The following is a 24,270-nucleotide window of genomic DNA, read 5'->3' as shown; positions in this document are numbered from 1 at the left end:
TATATTTAAATATTTTATCCATTTATAAAAAGTGTTGTATTTATAAAAGTGAATTTTAAGTGTTTATTGTATATTCTGCACACAAGTTGTTCAGACATAGATTTTGCAAATATTTTCTCCTATTCTGTAGGCTGCCTCTTAGTTTTCACAAGGGCATCATTGAAAGATCCTAGTCTCCAGACTTGCCAGACAATAAATTTCTGTTGTTTTAAGCCACCCAGTGTATGTTACTTTGTTACAACAGTACCAGGAAACTAAAACATATAAATATTTTTAATATACTTTGTCTTTTATTCAGTTCAAGATACTTTTATTATTTGTTTTTAAATTTTATTTTAGATTTGGGGGTGCATGGGCAGGTTTGTTACATGGATCTATTGCATACTTGTGAGGTTTGGGCTTCCAGTGAAGTCATCACCCAAATAGTGAACATTATACTCAGTAGGTAATTTTTGAACACTCATCTCCCACCCACTCTCTCCTCTTATGGAGTCTCCAGGGTTTATAATTTCTATGTCTGTGTATACCAATTGTTTAGCCCTCACTTATAAGTGGAACGCATTTTTTTTTTTTTTTCAAGACAGAGCCTCGCTCTGTCACCCAGGCTGGAATGCAGTCGCACAATCTCTGCTCACTGCAACCTGGTTAAAGCAATTCTAGTGCCTCAGCCTCCTGAGTAGCTGGCATTACAGGCATGTGCCACCATGCCCAGCTAATTTTTTGTATTTTCAGTTGGGGCAGGGGGGTTCCCCATTGGTGTGGTTTGGCTGTGTGCCCACACAAATCTCATCTTGAACTGTGAACTCTCACAATTCCCACATGCCATGGGAGGAACCTGGTGGGAGGTGATTGAATCATGAGGGTAGGTCTTTCCTGCACTGTTCTCATGATAGTGAATGAGTCTCACGAGATCTGATGGTTTTAAAATGTGAGTTTTTCTACATAAGCTCTTTTTGCCTGACACCTTCCATGTAAGACATGACTTGCTCATCCTTGCCTTTAACCTTCACCATGATTGCGAGGCCTCCCCAGACATGCAGAACTGTAAGTCCAATAAACCTCTTTCTTTTGTAAATTGCCCAGTCTCAGATATATCTTTATCAGCAGTGTGAAAATGTACTAATACAACCATGTTCGCCAGGCTGGTCTTGACCTCCTGACATAAGGTGATTCACTCACCTCGCCCTCCCAAAGTGCTGAGATTACAGGTGTGAACTACCATGCCCAGCCCAATATTTTAATTTCTATTTCTTAGTTATTTCACTTAGGATGATGGCCTCTAGCCCCAGCCACGTTGCTGCCAAGGACGTAAGTTCATTATTTTTTTATGACTAAGTAGTATTCCATGGTGTGTACATAGAACATTTTCTTTATCCCAGCAATTGTTGGTGGACACTTAAGTTGATTCCATGACTTTGCTCTTGTGAATAGTGCTATGTTATACAATAAACATACGAGCACAGGTATCCTTTTGATATAATGATTTCTTTTCCTTTGGGTAGATATACAGCAGTGGAATTTCTAGGTGGAATGGTAGTTCTGTTTTTAGTTCTCTGAGAATGCTCCAAACTGCTTTCCACAAAGATTGAACTAATTTACATTCTCACCAACAGTGTATAAGCATGTCAGCATCTTCACCAACCTCTTATTATTTGCCTTTTTAATAATAGCTGTTCTGACTGGCATGAGATAGTATCTCATTGTGGCTTTGACTTGTATTTTTCTGATGATTAGTTATGTTGAGCATGTTTTTTCATGTTTGTTGGCCACTTGTATGTCTTCCTTTGAGAAATGTCTGTTCATGTTTTTTGCCTAATTTTAATGGGGTTATGTGTGTTTTTCTTACCAATTTGAGTTCCTTATAGATTCTGGATATGAGTCCTTTGTCAGATACATAGTTTGCAAATACTTTCTCCCATTCTGCAGGTTGTCTGTTTATTCTGTTGATAACTTCTTTTGCTGTGCAGAAACTGTTTGGTTTAATTAATCCAGGTTTTCTGTTTGTTTTTGTTGCATTTGCTTTTGAGGTCTTAGTCATAAATTTTGCATCTAGGCCAATGTTCAAAATACTTTTAAAATTGCCTTATAATTTCTTATTTTACTTATAGTTGACTGATGGTTACATTGTCTAATTTTTCCAATATTTGATAAATTTCCTTTTGTGATTGATTTTTAGTTTTAGCAATACATTTATGTAACTTTTGCTTTCTAAATCTTAGATACCCTCAGTGTGTTTTACACTGCTAGGACATCTGTATTTGTCCTAACAAGGATTTCAAATGTTCAACAGCCATGTTTGGCTAGTGGCTACTGTATTAGCACAGTCTATGTTTTCTCATTCTTGTACTTTTAGTTTATCCAGGTACAGATGTCCCCCAACTTATGATATATAATTTATGATTTCTCAACTTTGCAATAGTACAGAAGCTATACACATGAGTAGAAACCATACTTCCAGTTTCCATACAGCAATTCCATTTTTTACTTCAGCATGGTATTCAGTAAATTACACAAGATCTGTCTTTTAAAATTTCCTTTGAACCTTTTTTTTGACCCATAAATTATTTAGAAGTGTGTTACTTAATTTCCACATATTCAGAGATTTTACTATCTTTCTTTTACTAATTTCTAGTTTTCGTTTCATTATAGTCAGGTAACATACTCTTATGATTTTAACTGTTTTAAATTTGTTTTATGACCTAAGATATGACCTATCATATCAATGTACTATGGATACTGGAAAATAATGGGTATTATGCTGTTCTTATATAGAGTTTTCTATGTAGGTTCATCAAATCATGATGTATCATTTTATTTTTCACCTTCATTTTTAAAGACTTTCTTTCCTAGAATTTGTAATTTTTTTTTTTTTTTTTTTTTTTTGAGACGGAGTTTCGCTCTGTCGCCCAGGCTGGAGTGCAGTGGCGCAATCTCGACTCACTGCAAGCTCCGCCTCCCGGGTTCACGCCATTCTCCTGCCTCAGCCTCCCATGTAGCTGGGACTACAGGCGCGCGCCACCATGCCTGGCTAATTTTTGTATTTTTAGTAGAGACGGGGTTTCACCGTGTTAGCCAGGATGGTCTCGATCTCCTGACCTCATGATCCGCCCGTCTCGGCCTCCCAAAGTGCTGGGATTACATAGAATTTGTAATTTTTAATGGTTATTTGGTTTCAACACCTTGGACATAAAATTTTACTCCCTTTTGGCTTTATTCTTGCTGTTAACTATCATTTGAATTGTTGTTATTTTATTAAAGTAACCTGTATTTTCTGTCATTTACAAGAAATACATTCAGAAAGAGAAATGCTTGTGATTTTAGATTGTTGTGCATCATGCATGAGCTCTTATGCTCCTCTCTGATGGCAACCCACTTTCTAATTAGGCAAATTCCAAAACAACACTATTAACTGATTAAATTTCAGCATATTTTTGAATTAAATCACTTCAATTCCAAATAAGTTAAAGAAATTCTGGTGTCAAGAATATGGAATCACTATACATTTTTATGAATCTCTACAAACCTTCCATCAAATTAATAGAGATCAACTAGAGATCAATAGAGAACAAAAACAAAAAGACAGAAACAAACAAAAATAAACAGCAACAACAAAATCCAGTGCATCCATTGGCATCAAGACCATTGGCTGTGTAACAATAGTTGTACAGAGAAGTGTGGAGAATCCTATCGGCAGAGGAGTGCGGAAATTATTGAGCGTTCTTACCAGCCAAAACAGTGCTTCTTAATGAATGAGAACTTAGGTGGTAAACCAGGAAACTCTGAGAAACCCTTATACCTTCCAGTGTCTGATGAGTCCTGTCAGACTTCACTTAAACACTTAGCGGCCCATGAGGAAATTTAAACAGTTTTGAAACAACCTATGCTTGCTAGAGCCTCAAAAATATTCAACATATAGTCCCTTTTAGAAGGGATTTTAAAAGTCTCTTTTAGAATTTTGACCTGGAAAAAAAATCCAAAAAACAAAAAACCCTGCTAGAAAACAAGTATAACTGGGCAACGTATAAAAACTGAGAATCTCTGAGATTAAAACAAAAGAATTCAGCCAGGCACGGTGGCTCATGCCTGTAATCCGAACACTTTGGGAGGCTGAGGCGGGCGGATCACCTGAGGTCGGGAATTAGAGACCAGCCTGACCAACATTAAGAAACCCCATCTCTACTAAAAATACAAAATTAGCCAGGTGTGGTGGCACTGCCTGTAATCCCAGCTACACAGGAGGCTGAGGCAGGAGACTTGCTTGAACCCAGGAGGTGGAGGTTGCAGTGAGCCAAGATTGCGCCATTGCACTCCAGCCTGGGCAACAAGAGCGAAACTCCATCTCAAAAAAAAAAAAAAAAAAAAAAGAGTTCATACACTGAGTGGAATGGACAGATGTCTATAAAAGGCAGAGTTTTAAGAGGCTAGCAAAATATATATACAAATTTTTTAAGATGACACCATTTTGGGATGTAAGGCCTTTAAAGCATGGACAATTTAGGAGTAAAAACAGTAAGTTTTCATAAGACTTTCTGTTTCTGAAAGACAAGGAATTGCCTAAACAAGTGGCACATTTTTGAAAATATAGCAGCTTTGACAGAAGAGAGATTTATGGAGTCATGAAATTGGAAAAACTACTCTAACTTATCTTCACCTCCTACAAATGAACCAACTGCAAGGAGTTTAGGAAAACCAGTCTAATATACAACTGGGGTGGAAAGGTTAATAATAGAACTGAAAACATAGATATTACAAGGAAAAAATGTATGAACATGAATTGAGTATATTCCAACAAGATGAAAGTGTACCATAATTAAGTCCAAAAAGAGGATGAAATATATTTTTTCTCACCTACCACCTAAACCCACATGTAGTTATTAAATACTTGTTAAGATCACTCACTATTTCACCATGCCTTTGCAGAGTGTCAATACAATTTAGTAGTAACCAACCAATGTTGCTGTCCTTTTAGGCATTCCCTTTCTCCCCATGTTTTCTAGGTGCCTGTATTTTTGCACATGCTGCAGCATTTCCTACCCCTGGACATTTTTCCAGGTCACACTGTCAAAAGCTGTAACAATGAGTCATCACCTTGTGACAGAATGGCATCTTCTTCTGTGTCAGGGAAAGGAGTGAGCCATCCCCAAATTACCACTTGCATTCTTGGGCTACTCCTGGTATCAGTGGTGCTAGTCTTGGGTCTTGGTCTTCTGAGATGTAGACACCAAAGCAGGTAAAGATTTTATTGGGGGAAACACCTCTGTGAGAGAAAATATGGAGTTAACCTGAGAAGGCTGGAAGAAATGACCAAGACAGCCTAAACATTCCCCTCAGCTTCACTACACTTTAAACATCTTTCTTCCTGACTATAGGTCCCTGTCCTCCATTTTCTTAAAAATTTACTTTAGAAAACTTAAAATTGTAAATGCTTCTGTCTTTTTGTGATATAAATCTTCTCCCAGCCTCTTGCCACTTCCAAAACCCAGGAATGTCTTTCTCAAATACCTGGGAACCAGCTCTTTGAAATATAATCTTCAAGAAAGGTAGTGTCTCTGTCTCTCCCAGTGTCTGTGCTAGGGTAGAAGCCTGACCATAATAAGGGCCAATTAGCAAACACAGATGCCTAATCACATTGACCATCCTCTTCCTAATGTCCTCCAGCACTTTTCCACTAGCTCACCCCAGGGCTAAATAACTCTCCCAGCTTTTCTTTCAGAGGAGTTGAATTTGATCTCTCTCTTTCCCATTGCAATCTTGGAAAAAAAGTCTTCTTTGACCATTTAACTCTGTCCAGTGAAATTTTTCTTTGAGAGAAGCACTAGACTTGATAAAAGTCTAGCCCTGCTTGAAGGAAAGGGAGGAAAGGTTGGTGAAAGCCCCCTAGATTGCCTTATAGTCTAAAGAATGTTTGGTAATTCTATCATGGAGCCCTTAAGCCAAAGCTGTCTCTCAAAGGAGTCCCATGTTTCCCAGGAATAAGTGTACCTTACTTACCATTCCTCTGGGGTTCAGTTACTGGTTACCGTCAGTCTGTAGGAAGCTTGGTTTTGTTGCAAATGCCGTCATGGATTTCAGAGCACTGTAGCTGGGGTCCTTGGTTCATCTTTGTCACTGTAGTTGGAGCCCTGCTGCAAGTATATTCAAGGCAGCTACCCCATGTAACTTTACTAAAACTTTCAGTTCAGTGTTCAGTGAGTTCATTGCTGGGCACTTTCCTAAAGATACACTGCAACTGATTGGACTAGTGTCTTTCATTCTAGAGAAGGCATGAGTTTGTGTTTATTCTCATGAAGGAAAAAAACAGATTACCATATTGGGAAAAGAAAATAAAATTTCAGGACCTTCCAAACTTATTATGCCAAGGGGAAAAATTAAGCCCTGGAAACTGGGTTATGTAACATGGGTGTTTATCTTCCCTGGTGCATGACCATTGCTTCCTGACCTTTGTGTTGAGATGTTGTACATTAACTGGACTCCTTATTCTTCATCCAAACCTGGACTAAATTATATTGTAAATAGAGACCCTTCTGATTGTTACCACTTTACAATAGTATGTTAAGCAATCTCTTTGGAGTGTACTCAATAGAAGCCAATCAAATCTTATATCTGTATGTTAGCCTTTGAATGGAGAATGTTGTAATCCTGTTCAGCACCTCTGTTTTTGCATATATAAACAATTTTTACTAGGAGCAGTGGTTAGCATTCTTTGGCAACCATGTTTCCCAGACAGCCACCCTCACATTTTGCACTTGAATAAACTCTTTTAACTAGATTTTTAGCCTTTTTCTTATTTTAGGTTGACAATATTTTGCTATAGAAACCAGATATAATTAACAGGAGTGTACAAATGTAGCTGAGAAGACCAAGAAGTAAATTAGAGTTGACACTTGAACAACAGGGGTTTGAACTGCATGGGTCCACTTATACACAGATTTTTTTCAATAAATATATTGGAAATTTTTTTGGAGATTTGCAATAATTTGAAAAACTTGCAGAAGAACCACATAGCTTAAAAATATTGAAAAAAATGAAGAAAAATGTCCGTCATGAATGCATAAAATATATATATAGATAACAATATATTTTATTATTAACATAAAATATACACACATCTACTATTTAAAGTTAAAATCCATCAATACAGTCACACACATATTTACAGACCATATATGGTGCCATTCATGGTTGAGATAAATGTAAATGAATGTAAAAATGCCTTATTAAATCATAACCATAAAATTAACTATAGTACATACTATACTACTGTAATAATTTCATAACCACCTCCTGTTACTATTGGAGTAAAGGTCAAGTGTTTGTACATATCCCCTTAAAATGCTGTATGATGCTAATCATCTCTGCATGAGCAGTTCATTTCTCTGGTAAATTGTATATCTCTGTAAAAAGTGATCTCTTATATTTCTCATGTATTTTACATAATGTTTAATGCAATAGTGTAAAGTTTGAATAACACCACGGGACCTATAGGAAGTGCCATTAATGATGCTGGAAGTGCTCCCAAGAAGCAGAGAAAAGTCCTTACATTACAAAAAAAAGTTGAATTTCTTGATATAAAGTCTAGATTGATGTCTGTAGCTGCAGTTGCCTGCCATTTCAGAGAGTTAATTCATCTTGTAAGCAGATAACATAAACTTATGGTATCAATGTATACAATATAGTACTGTAAATATATTTTATCTTCCTTATGATTTTCTTAATAACATTATCTTTTCTCTAGTGTACTTCAGTGTAAGAATACAGTATATGATACATATAACATACAAAATATGTGTGACTATGTAATTGGTAAGGCTTCTGGTCAATAGCAGGCTATTAGTTAAGATTTTGGGGAGTCAAATGTTACACACAGATTTTGATTGGGCATGGGTTGGTGCTTCTAACCCCACCATTGTTCAAAGGTCAACCATACATATGATATAGTTTAGCTTTGTATCCCCACCCAAACCTCATCTTGAATTATTATCCCCGCGTGTTGAGGGAGGAACTTAAGGGGAGGTGATTGGATCATGGGAGCGGTTTCCCCCATGCTATTCTCATGATAGTGAGTGAGGTCTCACGAGATCTGATGGTTGTATAAACGTCTGTCATTTCTATTGCTCTCACTCACTTCTCTCAGTGGCTGCTATGTAAGACGTGCCTGTTTCGCCTTCTGCCATGATTGTATGTTTCCTGAGTCCTCCCAGCCATGCAGAACTGTGTGCCATTAACCCTCTTTTCTTGTTAAATTACCCAGTCCCTGGTATGTCTTCACAGCAGTGTGAAAACAGACTAATACAACACAGGAATCCAATTTTGTGTGCGTCCTCAGAATTTCCTCAGCAACTTGTTCATTCTGAGAATTTTAATGCTTCCCATGCATAACTACTGCCATTTTCGGCACCCTTATGGAGACCTCCTAGCTAAATAGCATCTAAGAGGAAGTCTAGCTCTTGCATATCTCTCAATCTCAAAACACTCAGCCGTATTTGAGCTAAGTTATCCTGACACATCCAGACTTGGATAAAATTATCCATTGCAGAGCACAGGGTCTGACTTCTGACCAGCCTCTTAGAAATGTATTATGCAACCTGCAATGTTTGGTAGTCGTTAGGAAATGGGGAGACCTTAACCAGTGAGATACTCGAGGAGAGAAGGAACTGAGTGGATAAATGATCCCACTTGTGGGTTACACAGAAGTGAGATTTTTCTTTTCAGGCTTTCCACAGGTATATCCCCTGTGCCCAGTGAATGGACCTGATAGAGGACCTGCAGTTTCTATTTTTGTTTTTGATACTTCCTGGAGCAGTTGCTTGTGTTGCAATACACCACATGCAATTGCATCGCATCCTTTCTCCCTTAACCTCATTTCATTTTTTGTTTCATCACACCCTTGGCATCTTTTGGGTTTTCAGCTTTCAAGTGAAGTGTTAACATTTTAATTATTGCCTCATATTCTTTTTTCTAGAGAGCCCTGACTAATACTGACTCTAAGATAATTCACCCTGTCGACAGATCTAAAAAAACACAAAAACAAAGAGCAAAAATTGTATAGTCCTTCCCATAGATATTTAAAAAAGCATTTCGCACACACAGACACACACATACACACACACATACTCCAGCCAGAATTCTATCCTACATAGTGGAGAAGCGAACACAGGTATTCCTGTTAAAGCAAGGAAGAAAAGCATGCCCACAATCACTACTTTGTAACATTGTGATGGGGGGAGTAGTCACAGTAATTAGACAAGAGGCATAAGAATATAAAGGGAACATGCAAAATTATTACAGATGATATAATGTTTAGCTAAAAAAACCCTGAAAACATAAGAGAATTTAGTTAATTGGGAGAATTAAATAAATATATGAAATTATAAACAGGGCCGGCACAGTGGCTTATGCCTGTAATCCCAGCACTTTGGGAGGTCATGGCAGGTGGATCACGAGGTCAGGAGTTCAAGACCAGCCTGGCCAACATGGTGAAACCCTGTCTCTACTAAAAATACAAAAAAAATTAGCAGGGCATGGTGCCGGGTGCCTGTAATCCCAGCTACTCGGGAGGCTGAGGCAGAGAATTGCTTGAACCCAGGAGGCAGAGGTCGCAGTGAGCTGAGATCGCGCCACTGCACCCCAGCCTGGGCAACAGAGGGATACTCTGTCTCAAAATAAGTAAATAAATAATAAAAATAAATAAAGAAATAAAATTATAAACCTTATGTAAAAATAGGCAGATCAAAGTTATCATGGAGGAAAAGATCATATTTACAATGTCAACACACTGATAACATACCTAGGCATAAAAATTAAAAAAATGTAACATTATCTAATAATTTTAAATGTGTAAATAATCACAGTTATAGTATCAACAATGTTATATCTAGGCATAAAAATTATAAGAAATATGGTAACATTATCTAATAATTTTAAGCTCCTGAAAGAAACAAGTTTGTTTTTCTTTTTCTGGATCTAGGCAAGCTGTTTTTAAAATAAGAGGACATAGGAAAAGTAAATAAGCAAGAATAATCCTAAAAAAACCCTAAAAATAAAAGCAATACATTTGAAATAGTCTTAGAAGTTATTAAAACATATTGCAAGTCTATCTAATTAAAAGTGTGATATTTTTATAGAAATAAACTACAGAAGGAAAAGAACATAATAGAAAAATCAGCAATTAAACAGAAGGGCACATGTAAATTTAGTATATGATAAAGATACTTTCTCAAAAAGAACAAAAAACTATTAAGTAAATGATATTTGGATAATGTGAAAGTAATTTGGAAAAAGAAAAAATTGGATCATTTCCTTATGTCACACATTAAAATGAATTTTCAAAAGATCAGAGATCTAAATAAAAAGGTGAAGTTGTACAAAACTAACAGGTGAAACAATAATAACAGAAAGATAAATTTCTTTTTAACTGTCAATAGGAAAGATATTCTTAACCATGAATCAAAATCTAAAAGTGAAAAAAAAATCCTGTGGCATTCAACATGGATAATTTTTACTACATAAAAATTTAAAATAAGTACATGCAAATAAACATCACCAGAGTAAAATGGAAAATGAGGAAAGATATTTGCAATAGCTGTAACTGCCCTTATATATGAAAAGATTCTAAAAATTGAGAGAAAAAATGTAATAACATGATAGAAAAACAGGCAAAATATGCAAACATGTATTTCACAGAAAATATATAAGCAGGGTGTAAAATGAAAGGTGCATAACATCCTGCATAATAAGAAATTAGGCAATTAAATAAATAAGTGCAAGTTAAATAAACTTCAGATACAATTTCTCCACAATCAGATTGATACAAATTCAAAAGTTTGACAACATACTTTGTGGTAAGGCTTTGGAGACCCCATCACTCTCATACAGTGTTGTAGTAATGCAAAATTACCAACCAAAGATGACAGTAAATTTAGAATATTTAGGAAAATCATATATACATTTATATTGACAATGAGCAATCCTACTTCTATGATATTATCAAAAAAGATAGGGTTACAAAAAATTAATTAACATATGCATGAATTTCTCGTTGTGACAATGTTTGTATTAACAGAAGCTTGGAAATAACATGAATGCCCTTCAGAAAGAATTAGATGAATTCACTACAGTAAATGCACATAATGCAATGAAAACCACACAGGTGAAAAAAAGAATTGATGACACCAGGGATTCGGTCTACATTCTGCTGCTTGCTGCCCGCAAAGACAAACACTGAGACGATTATTACCAAGGAAGAAGGCTTTAATTGGGTGCTGCAGCCGAGGAGTTGGAAGAACAGTCTCAAGTCCATCTCTGTGACTCACTGAAATCAGGGGTTTTATATAGCAGGAGAGAAATATAATGATGTGTAGGAAAATAGGAACTTGGGAGGGGTAAGGATGCAGTCATGGTGAATGAAGGGACTGGCATCTCATTGTCTGGATGTGATGATCTGGTCAGTTTTGGCTCTTTGATATTTTTGAGAGGCCTGGGGGTCCTAACCTGAAGAATAAAATCAGATAAAACAAATGTAAGTTTCAAGCTTTAAAACCAGAAGGGTCAATTTTTGTGTTTGTCCAAAAACACTGTCTGTGGGTCTATTGGGTCGGTTTCAACAGTAGTAGCAGAAGTAATTCCTTAATGTGTTCTAACAATGTGTTTCAAAAATGTTTCAAGATTTCAAGACTTTTTCACATATTTTAAAATTTTCTCTTCACAGTATTACTTTGAGTCTGGTAGACTCAATATCTCCATTTTAGAGATGAAGAAACTAAAGTTAACAAAGTTTAGTTATTTGCTCCGGTTTATTCAGTTAGTGAATGAAACAAATTGGGATTGAAATTCACATCTTTCTGAATTGAAAGCCCACAGTCCAAAAACTATTCCCACTGCTTGATAATATGCTTTTAAAGTATGATGTTGCTTTATTAGTATTAAATAATTATTTTTGTTTTTCCCAAATGATCAGTGATTTTGAAAGAAAAAAGATGAATTTGAGAAAAAGAAAATAATGTAATTTTATTAATTTGTCTTTAGGAGTTTCTCATATATGGCAATTATATGGTTTGGCTGTGTCCCCACCCAAATCTCATCTTGAATTGTAGCTCCTATAGTCCCCACGGGTCATGGGAGGGACCTGGTGAGAGGTAATGGAATCATGGTGGTGGGTCTTTCTCTTGTTGTTCTCATGATGGCGAATAGGTCTCACAAGATCTGATGGTTTTATAAAAGGCAGTTCCCCTGCACACACTCTGTTTCCTGCCACCTTGTACGACATGCCTTTGATTCTCCTTAGCCTTCTGCCATGATTGTGAGGCCTCCCCAGTCATGTGGAACTGTGAGCCTATTAAACCTCTTTTTCTTTAAATAAATTACCCAGTCTTGGGGTATGTGTTTATTACCAATGTGAGTACAGACTAATACAGGCAACATGCTGAAAGTTAAGCTACCAAAATATAGAATATTCAGCAGAATAAATTAATCTGGGCTATGAATAATCCCATTTAAGAAACTGCTAAAAGTTCATAGTTTTCTGGATGGAATAGATTAGCATTGTCCATAATTTGGTAAATATATGTGTGACTGACTTGCATGCTTTTAATAATTAAATTCAGAACATGTCTCTGCAGTTTTCTGAATATATGGATGAGGCATAAATTTTCCTAAAGATACAATTTAATTTTAAACAATAGCCTTCTTTTGCATAAAAGATATGTATAAGAATCCCATAAAAATGTCCATGTCATGGTGCAGGTTATTTTTAAAATATAATGTATGATCATAGTAGCACTGATATTGCGTCACTGCAAGAACTGAGAAGGGAAGACCTTCTGTGTACGAGAGGGAATGATTTAGGATATAATCCTAAGGAAACTATAAAGCACTAAAAAAAAAAAAAAAAGAAAGAATGGGTGAATAATTGTTGAAACCTTACCCTGTATGTAGAAAAATATTAAAAACATTATTATCTCATAAGTTAAGACTTTTCTATGAGACATAACTTTAGAGACAATTTTTTGAAAATGATAGAAGAAATTCTAGATTGCCTCCCTCCTGAACAATCTGGGAGATTGTGAAATTTGATGTCATGAAATTATAATATGAAAAATTATGTACTAACCAGAGAGCTTTGAATATCATAATAGGGCACACACTTGGCAATTTTTTGATCGTTGGGAGTCTATCCCAAAGTAACACTGAAATTTATATTTATTTTACTGATAATTTGTATGTATGTATGAGTGTAGGTGCATATATGCACACCCACATGTACACACATATATATACATAAAATATTATTTATTGAGCACTACTACCTCTAAGTTCTGGCATGTATTAATATTATTTTACATATTGTTAGGAATCAAATATTCACTATGCTTATATTCAATCAGAAATTGAGTTAAATCAGGGCTTAGTGCTTTTGATTCTCCTCTCAGCCTCCTCCAGCATTTCATTCTGCTTTCTCAAAGCTCTTTAAAAAAAAAAAGATTCATCTATTCAACTGATGGTTGGAGAGTCAGATGGCATTTTTCTCTGAAATTTGTGATTGTGACCTAAAAGCTGCATAGAAGGAAGGTGAAGAACATACTTCTCACATCTCATATTTACATAGGGCATAGGGCCACAGGAAGTCTGTAGTCAGTGGTTAGTGCGTGTTATAGAGTGGCATATGCCTGTCCTCTGAAGGAAAACACTCAAAAATTTCCTTCATTCCTCTTTAATTCAGTTTAGAAGATATAAAAGTTATTATGATAGCAGGGGGGAGGGGACAGAATTGCAAAGCCATTAGAAAATACTGGAATGTAGGCTGGGGACTCAAATCAAGTGCTTGCGAACACTCCCAGTTTAGGCTAGACTTGGATATTTAATATTCTTTAGATGTCTTGAGCACCACAGGATTCATGTAGTTTCTATTATTCTGTGAGCTGGGTGACTTCAGCCCCATTTAAGGACCTGGCTGCTAATGATGGGATACTATTCCTCATAAAATGTAGACACATAAGAACTAATTGTACAAGGTCCTGTTTTGCTAATAAAGAATTGATTCTCAAAGAGGTTAAGCTACTTGAGATGGGATTTAAAGATTATAATCTTATTGCTTTCTAAATTCAAACAGTGCTCTTGGACGCTATTATGAAAGCACTCAATTCTGAAATATGAAAAATCTGGTAAGCAGCTCAACATTGCAGATGTGATGCCTGAGGAATGTTAATGGTCTCAATGCTGCTTATATTTTATTTTATTTTATTTTATTTTTTCTTTTCTTTTTTTCTTTTTTATTTATTTATTTTATTTTATTATTATTATACTTTAAGTTTTAGGGTACTTGTGCACAATGTGCAGGTTAGTTACATATGTATACATGTGCCATGCTGGTGCACTGCACCCACTAACTCGTCATTTAGCATTAGGTATATCTCCTAAAGCTATCCCTCCCCCTTCCCCCAACCCCACAACAGTCCCCAGAGTGTGATGTTCCCCTTCCTGTGTCCATATGTTCTCATTGTTCAGTTCCCACCTATGAGTGAGAACATGCGGTGTTTGGTTTTTTGTCCTTGCGATAGTTTACTGAGAATGATGATTTCCAATTTCATCCATGTCCCTACAAAGGACATGAACTCATCATTTTTTATGGCTGCATAGTATTCCACGGTGTATATGTGCCACATTTTCTTAATCCAGTCTATCATTGTTGGACATTTGGGTTGGTTCCAAGTCTTTGCTATTGTGAATAGTGCTGCGATAAACATACGTGTGCATGTGTCTTTATAGCAGCATGATTTATAGTCCTTTGGGTACATACCCAGTAATGGGATGGCTGGGTCAAATGGTATTTCTAGTTCTAGATCCCTGAGGAATCGCCACACTGACTTCCACAAGTGTTGAACTAGTTTACAGTCCCACCAACAGTGTCAAAGTGTTCCTATTTCTCCACATCCTCTCCAGCACCTGTTGTTTCCTGACTTTTTAATGATTGCCATTCTAACTGGTGTGAGATGGTATCTCATTGTGGTTTTGATTTGCATTTCTCTGATGGCCAGTGATGGTGAGCATTTTTTCATGGTTTTTTGGCTGCATAAATGTCTGCTGCTTATATTTTATGTCTTTACATTTTAGTGTATGGGTCTTTCCTGTCACCCTCCATTCTAGATATACCTTACTTAGGAGACTTCAGGAAGCTGCTCTCCATCCTCAGGAGAGTACAGATGCCTCACTACATATGATGGGGTCACACACATCTCAGTAAGTTGAAAATATGTCAAAACTGCTTTTAATATACCTACACTACCAAACATCATAGCTGAGCCTAGCCTACCTTAAATGTGCTCAGAGCAACAGGAACAAGAGTTGAGCAAAATAGTATAACACAAAGCCTAGTTTATAATAAAGTGTTGACTAACTCATGTAATTTATTGAATGCTGTATTGAAAGTGAAAAACAGAATTGTTGTATGGGTACTTGAAGTATGGTTTCCATTGTATGTGTATTGCTTTCACAGCATCGTAAAGTTGAAAAATCCTATATTCAACCATCATAAGTTGAGGTCTGTCTGTACTGTATTTTGTTGTGGAGAATGATAATTGCTTTATTCTTCCTGATATTTTCACTTGTAGATTCACCTGCCCATGGGGCCAAGTTCTCTTCTTTTTCTTCCACTGCCGTGTGGAAGCTCAATAGAGCAGTGATGATCTGTCATCTGTGTAACAAGATGGACAAATTGCCAAATTCATCTAGAACAAGGCAAGAAGGCGTGGTGAATGGAGCTAAACACTTAGCTTCTACGTATTTAAATAGACATCCCCCTCCTTCATGCTTTACCTGTCAATTTTAGAATGTTCAAATCTTAGTTAATAGTCATGTCCTCTGTTTCTGCCCTTAAAGTTGAGTCTTCCCTGGTTGAACTCTCACTACGCTCACATGTGCATGTGCTCACAAACAAACACACACACTTCCAGGTTCCGCGGAATGCTTTTAGTGTTTGCTTCTTGTCATCTTGTTCTTCACAACAATAAAGTGACAGGTATTAGACTATGGAAGAGTAAGCTTGTTTTCCGGAGTTCCCAATCACATTCCACACATTCAAAGCACTGCTACCCTCAGGTATATTTGCTAAATGTATTAATCTCTCAATAAAGCGATCTGTTTATGCTTTTAGCAATACGTTAGAGGCAGGAGAGGGATTAGATTAGGCACTCCTGGGATTCTGATCTGATCCGTGCATGCTGCCTCAGTTACAGAAAGGAAAACAATGAAGATTTTCTGTTGAATACTTGGTGGCTAATTAGACTTTCTATTATCTAAAGACTAATTGGTTTCTTATCCATTCTATTCATTTAAGGTGAAATACTAATTAAATGTTTTCTCCCCATGATTTTTGTGAAGACAACAAAACAGCTAATGAATGGAAGAGGGAGTTTCAGCATTTTAAATGGATATAAATAAATATATACAGGGAGTTTGTATATTTTATTGGGGATTTTAAAATACAGATGGACCTTACTCTGCATAGATTTACCATTATCAAAAATCCCTAACCTTTATAACAGGCTAAATATGCCATAATGGGAGAAGAGAATTAAACCAGTGATGTATTAGAGTGAGGCTCCTTCTACATCCTCCCTGTTTCCTTCATGCTGCCTTTCTCTTGCTTCACTACATTACAGTGCTTGAAAACCCAGCAGGCTTAAGTCTGTTCCTGCTGTGAGTGTGTGTGTGAGTTCAAGTTCCTTCAGGAGGCGAAGTCACACTAATAATAATTTTCTGTTAGTGGCAATTTGGAAAAGTCTTATGTTACTAAAGACTGCTGCATGACTACACAAAGAACTATTTATTGAAGTAGCTAGTATTTAAATGTGTTTTTGTGAAAGGTGGTCAGGCTTCCTTAGAAGGAAAAAAGTGATTTCTGAATACTTGGTTAGGCCCTTTTTTTGCATAATAAGAGAAATAAGCAGAAGAGTCTAAATTTTTTTGCTTAACTTTTTATCTTGGAACAGTTTAAGACTCATAGCCAGCTGCAATCGTAATACATAGCTTATCCTTGGACTTTCTACTCAGCTCTCTCCAATAACAACATCTTACATAAGCACAGAACATTATCCAAAGCAGGACACTCACATTGATACTATACTGTTAAGTAAACTACAGACTTTCTTCAGATTTCACCAGTTTTTACATATATTTGTTTTATTTTGTTTTTGGTTTATAGCATGATACATTTTTTTTGTCAGATAGATAGATAGATAGATAGATAGACAGACAGACAGACAGACAGACAGATACAGATCCATATAACCACCACCACAATCAGGACACAGAACCATTCTATCAACACAAAGAAAATTCCTAATCCTAGCTTTGTCACAATGACATCACAAATGACAATAATTTTGTCATTTGATAATATTATATAAATGGAAATATACAGTGTGTAACTTTTTATGGTTGACTTTCTTCACTCAGCATAATGCCCTTGAAATACATGCAAGTAGTATAGTATATCACTAGCTCCTTCCTTTTAATTGCTGACTAGTAGTCTATATTATGGATATTTATTTATTTTTATTCATTCACCCATTGAAGGACATTAGGGTTGTTCTCAACTTTTGGCTATTACAAATAAAGACATTCTGAACATTCATGTACAGGTTTTTGTATGGACATAAATTTTCATTTTGTTGAAATAAATACCCAGGAGTACAATTGCTGGGTTGTTGTATTATATTAAAACACCATAAAAAATAGAAACAGACACAACAGGGAAACTTCTAGAGGTGAAGGATATGTTTATTACCTTGATTGTGTGATAAATGTAGCTTTAGTTCATTTCCTTGATCTGGTATGTAGGATTCCATTGCATGAATATAGTATAATCTTTTTGTGTGTGTGATCACAGACATTTAGACTACTTCCATTTTTAAAAAACATTTATTTTAGTTTTGGTGGTACACATGCAGGTTTATTATATAGGTAAACTCGTGACACAGAGTTTGTTGTACAGATTATTTCATCACGCAAGTACTTAGCCTAGTACCCAATAGTTATGTTTTCTGCTGTTCTCCCTCTTCCCACCCTCCACCCTCAAATAGACTTCAACATCTGTTGTTCCCCTCTATGTGTCCATGTGTTCCCATCATTTAGCTCCCACTTTTAAGTGAGAATATGTGGTATTTGGTTTTCTGTTCCTGTGTTAGTTTGCTAAGAATAATGGCCTCCAGCTTCATCCTGTTTCTGCAAAAGACATGATCTTTTTTTTTCTTTCTTTCTTTTTTTTTTTTTTGGAGACAGGGTCTCACTCTGTTGCCCAGGCTGGAGTGCAGTGGGGTGATCTCGGCTCACTGCAACCTCTGCCTCCCGGTTTCAAGTAATTCTCCTGCCTTAGCCTCCTGTGTAGCTGGGACTACAGGAGCATGCTGCCACACCTGGCTAATGTTTTGTATTTTAGTAGAGATGGGGTTTCACCGTGTTGCCCAGGCTGGTCTTGAACTCTGGAGTGCAGTCAATCTGCCTGCCTCGGCCTTCCAAAGTGCTAGGATTACAGGTGTGAGTCATAAGTCATCATGCCTGGCTGATTTTTTTGCTTTTTTATGGCTGTATCGTATTCCATGGTGTGTATGTACCACATTTTAAAATATTTAATCTGTCATTGATGAGCATTTAGTTTGATTCCATGTCTGCTTTTGTGAACAGTGCCACAGTGAGCATTTGCATGCATGAGTGTTTACTGTAGAATGATTTATGTATCCTCTGGGTATACCCAGTAATGGGATTGCTGAGTTGAATGGTAGCTCTGTTTTTAGCTCTTTGAGGAATCACTGTACTGCTTTCCAGAGTGGTTGACCTAATTTACACACCTATCAACAGTGTATAAGTGTTCTCTTTTCTCCACAACCTTGCCAACATCTTTTATTTGAAAACAAGCTCACTGCAACCTCAATCTCCTGGCTACAAGCAGTCCTCCTGCCTCAGCCTCCTGATTCACTGGGAACACAGGCACATGCCACCACACTTGGCTAATTGAAATTTTTTTTTTTTTTTTGCATTGATGAAATTTCACTTTGTTGTCCAGGCTGGTCTTGAACTCCTGGGCTCAAGCAATCCTCCTGCCTCCATTTCCAAGGTGCTGGGATTACAGGAGAGAGTCACAGCACCCAGCCCTCCATTTCCTTTTTTTTTTACAACCAGAACTTCTAAGAAAATTCTTATGTATGTTTCTTTGTGTTTGTGTGCAAGAGTTTCTCTAGAGTTTATAACTAAGAGTAAGATTATTGAGTCTTAGAGTTAATATAAATTTTTCTATACGGTGGGGCAAATTATTCTCAGTTTGGTTTTATATAATTAATTTCTAGCAACGTCAGGTGGTGTTTCTTATTGCTCCATGTCTATAAATGCCTGATATTGATACACTTTTTACTTTCTGCCAAACTAATGAAAGTAAAATTTAGACCTCTTACTGAGCTCTTACTAGTGAGATTCTTCATATTTTCATATACGTATTGTTCACTGGCTTATCCTTATTTATTTATGGACAGTTGATATCTTTGTCATATTATCCCATGGAGTTTCTGGTGTTTTTCTTTATATATTTGGTATATTAACACTTTGTGCTTATATTTCCTCTATATATCCTACCTAGTTTGTGATAATTTTTTCTTATGATTTAAAGAACAGTACTCTGAATATGAATGTACATGAATTAGCAATATTTTATGTACTGTGTTTTTTTCTTTTTGATCTTGTTTAATATATTTTAAACTATTGTGAGAAAATAATATATTCTTATATGGTTTCTTTTGAGAGTTCTAAAATGTTTCTTTTTACATTGAAGTGCTTAATGCATGAGGAACTGATTTTGATATCAACATAGAGATCTATTCCCAACCCCACCATTGATAAGTATTATATTACAAATTATTAAATACTATTCCATCCTTTTCTGAACTGAAATGCCAATTCTGTCATCTATAAAAATTCCATAAACTCATATCTGTGATTTTTATTCCAACACTATCTTTGTTTAATACTTTTACCGAAGCCAGTGTTGCAAATTTTTGGCTATTCTTAGCTTTTTGCATTTCTACATATATTTTAAGTTATACTTGTCAAGTTCCTCCAAGTACTTCACAACTACTGAGATTTTGTTTAGAATATTGTGAATTTATAGAGTAATTGAAGATAATTGATATTTTAAAGATACTAACATTTCCCATATATCAATGTGGTATATAGATATATGTTTCTATGTAATATAGCTCAATAAGATTTTGTAATTTGCTCTGTAAAGATTGTGCTCACATTTTATCAGAGATATGCCTGTGGTACACACCCATACACATACACAAAGCATGAAAAGAAAAAGAGATTGAGTTGAAAAAGTCAGTTGAGTTGAGATTCAGGAGAAAAAGGAGTTGCTATGGAAAATAGAATCCTTGCAAAACTATGCTTTTTTCACTTTTGTTACAGACAGAAAAACATTGATTTTTGTATATTGATTGCATATTTACTGAAGTTACTAGATTTCTGCATTATTTATAAAAATTTTAGATTCCATTGGGTTTTCTATACGGATAGTAACATACTTTGTGAATACAACAGCTTTTTTTTTGTCATTTTCAATCTTCATAAATTTATGTCTTTTTCTTGACATATTATAGTGATTGTACCTTCTTTTATTCCTCATCTCTTTCCGAAAAATGACACTGGTTTCTTTCCTGCTTTACTGGCAGCTTCTTCTCACTTTACTCTGCTTTTCCTTTTTTAATTTTTCTCACCTCTAAATGCTGGATGCTACAGCAATCAGGTCTTTGACTTCTTTTTCTTATATTTGCTTTTACAATTTTATAATTTTATTTTTTAAATTATAAATTGGTAATTTATAATGATATACATTTATGGGGTACAAAGTGATGCTATGTTTCGTAAATACAATGTGAATTATTATGTCAAGTTGGTTAGCAAATCCATTATCTCAAATACTTAACTTTTTTTTGCCGTGGGAGGATTAGAAATTTATTCTCAGCAATTTTGAAATGTATAGTACTCTATTATTAACCATATTTACCATGCTGTGTAATAGAACTAAAAAATATATTCCTCGTTTCTGAGATTTTTTACCCTTCGGCCATCATTTCCCCATTTCTCTCAATCTGCAGCGACTATAACCACCATCCTGCTCTCTGCTTCTATGAGTTCAATTGTTTTAGATTCTGCATAGAAGTGAGAACTTGTGGTATTCATCTTTCCGTGCCTGGCTTATTCCACTTAGCATAATGTTCTCCAATTCTATCTATATTGTCACAAGTGACAGAATTTACTTCTTTTAAAAGGCTGAATAGTATGATTGCATTGTGCTGTAGAGCATGTTTTCTTTAGATATTTGAGTTCTAATCTTCTGTATCTATGTATATTCTTTAAGTAAACTCAGTTTCATTGCTTTTAGCACATAAGAACACTAATGTTTCTCAGGGTTATGCATCTAGGTTAACAGTCTTTCTTGAACTCATGACTTGCATGTAACATTTTTTTATTCAGTACCTCCAATTTATATGTATATTAAGTATCTCGAACTTACCAGGTTTGAAAATAAAGCCTAAATACGAGAGAGCTGGACAAGTTGAAGTATAAGAGCAGGTAAGGGCCATTCTGTGAATTTCATAACAGTCATGAAGAAATTTTGTCTTTGTACTAAAACAATGAAAATTTATTGATGTACTTTAATAAAGAAATAATAAGTTCAGGTTTGTAATTTTCAAAACTCTAGCCATAGTATGTAGAATAGATTGAAGAGTAATATGAGTAGATAAAAGGTGAGGCTCAGAGACTTTATTAGGAATCCAGGTGAGAAGTGATGGTGGCTGAGATCAGGGTAGTGGCTATGGAAATGGAGAGAAAAAATGTACTGGAGAAATGAGTTTTGTATGATGACCATACTGAATGCTTACATATTGTTGGCTCTGTTTCTGACTTGTGTTTTGTTTTCCATTAATTTATCTCCCTATTCTTACATCAATACCACACTGCTTTAATTACGGCGGTTTTTATGTGTTTTAATATTTGGCAATATACTTAGTTTTTTGTGCTTTTTTTCTTCAAATAACAAGAGCTATTTTTATTCATTTACTTCCTAGAACAGAGGTTGAAAAACAACAAATATTTTCCAGCTAATTTTTAATTAAAGCAATATTTTAAAATTAGGATATTTCATATAAAAATTGGATTTTTTTCCTACTGAAAGATCAGAAAATCCAGTGATGCTGAGACTGTTTCTTATATGGCAATAATTGGCACATGCTGAGAGACTGCTCTTGAGAGAGAGGATAATAATAATTATATATATATCACATATATATCATATGTATTATATATACATATATATCACATATATAACATATATATATTTTATATATATATATATAAAGTACAAATATATATACACACATATGTTCAGATTTGCATGGGATGGTATGGGTTGTAACTCTTACCTAGACTAATAATTACTCTTATAGAGTCCAAGTTAGGAAAAAAAAATCAGGTTTACCCTATCTTTGCATATTATAAATGCCCTTTCATTTGACTTGATTTTGTAGGTTTAACTACTTTGACCTTATAAACATTTGAATTTAGGGATACTTTTCTAGATGAACATTAGAACAAATTTGTCAAGTTCTCCCAATACCACTTAATTTAAATGCCTATACGGTAAATAATAACTAATTTGGAAAGTGTGTACAGCATTTTATTTTTATTTACAACCTCACTTCTATTATTATTCTTGAATAGTAGCCAAGAAATTTGGTTTCCATTCCAAAGGTAGCTCTTTATTGGCTTAAATTAATCAGCATCTGGCACTTTCTTCATTGTAGTGACTAGCTAAGAACTGGCCACATAATTTAAGGTTGGCCAATTAGAATGCATTTCAGGATTTTTGTTTGAAGTTTGTAAGAGATATACAGCTGTCTTTCTTTCCGCTTATCTCTCCATGCCCTGCCCCAAATTCCCCACCATGTGAATGAGGAATATTCTAGCTCAGGGAAGTTTTGGCAATTGACTTGCAATCAGGAAAAAAGTCAATTTTAGATTTAGAATAAAGCTAAAAACATGCCAGGAAGAAAAAAAAATGTTTAAAAACAAATAGATTTTAGACATAATTAAGTCAATAAATTAAGCCAACCTTGAATTTCACTTTTCTTTTGAACTTCCATACACATGATTGAATCAACACTCTCATCCACAGTGCCAGTTTGACTTGGTTTTGTGTTATTTTTCACATAAAGTGTTCCAATTATCACAGAGAGAAGTAAAGTTTGCATTTCATCTTCCCAGTCAGGAAAGAAATGTGGCTTTCATTTGTTTGTATTTTCTCTACATGCCTCAGTAAATGTTTGTTTGCTTTTAATATATCTCCTGCCATCTTTATTACGTTTATTCCTAGGGATTTTCCTAGAAAGGATTACTATATTAATTAAATTTGCAGCACTATTTGTATCTCTAATTCTATGTACATTAACTTTGCATGCAAAAGAGCAAAGGAAGGTTTTGTTTAGAAATTCTTTAAAAATTCAAAATACAGGTAATATATAAGAAATAAATGAAGCGCAGTATATTTTCACTTCTGAATGATACAGATATGAGAAACAATTTCTTACTTGAAAAATTGGAGAAGGCATCTTGGTAGTGATACATGGCTTATAACATAAGTATTATGTTGCAAATGATTCAAAATATATTAGCACAGACTGAACACTGTAAAGTGATGCTTAAATTTAGGCTACAGGTGAATAAAATAGGCTTTTATGAATACCAAATATATTGAAAGGAAATTTAAACTTTCCAATAGCCCTTAGCTTTTGTCAAATACATTTCTTAAACTGCTACTACAAATACAAATTGAAAACTCTGTAGAAACCTTTAAAATATATTAAAACAGTGTGAATTGATGAGAAATTCATGCATTCTTAAAAACATTGCTTTACTAAATTAAATAAATACAGCAAACAAATCTTTTGTTGAATTGATCATTTGCTGAAGTGATCATTTGATGCATATTTTGCAAAGTGCGTCATTTCTGCTGCTAACAAACAACATTCTCCTCTCTCTAAAGTTTACTGTAAAAATTATTTTTGTCTTTTTCTCTGTGTTAATATCCAGTAACTTTGTGTTTGATATTTGTCAATGAAAGTGCAGTAGAAATAAATTGCATTTGCTTTATGAAATGCCTATCAAGCACTCAATGGTCCCTAAACCATATCTAGCTTATAAAGGAAGAATAAACAATCCTGAAGT

The 24,270-nt window shown here is 35.1% G+C and overlaps 1 long non-coding RNA gene across 1 annotated transcript in view; it reads left to right on the top strand.

Annotated features, from left to right (window-relative positions):
• The window catches only part of LOC105378031 (uncharacterized), a 181,459-nt gene that overhangs the window by 146,458 nt on the left and 10,731 nt on the right, over positions 1-24,270 (top strand). The gene's annotated exons all lie outside the window — the stretch shown is intronic.

Source organism: Homo sapiens, chromosome 6 (genome assembly GCF_000001405.40).
Source record: "Homo sapiens chromosome 6, GRCh38.p14 Primary Assembly".
Classification (NCBI taxonomy): domain Eukaryota; kingdom Metazoa; phylum Chordata; class Mammalia; order Primates; family Hominidae; genus Homo; species Homo sapiens.
The sequence above is the reverse complement of the archived record's forward strand: the minus strand, read 5'-3'. Positions and strand labels throughout refer to the sequence as shown.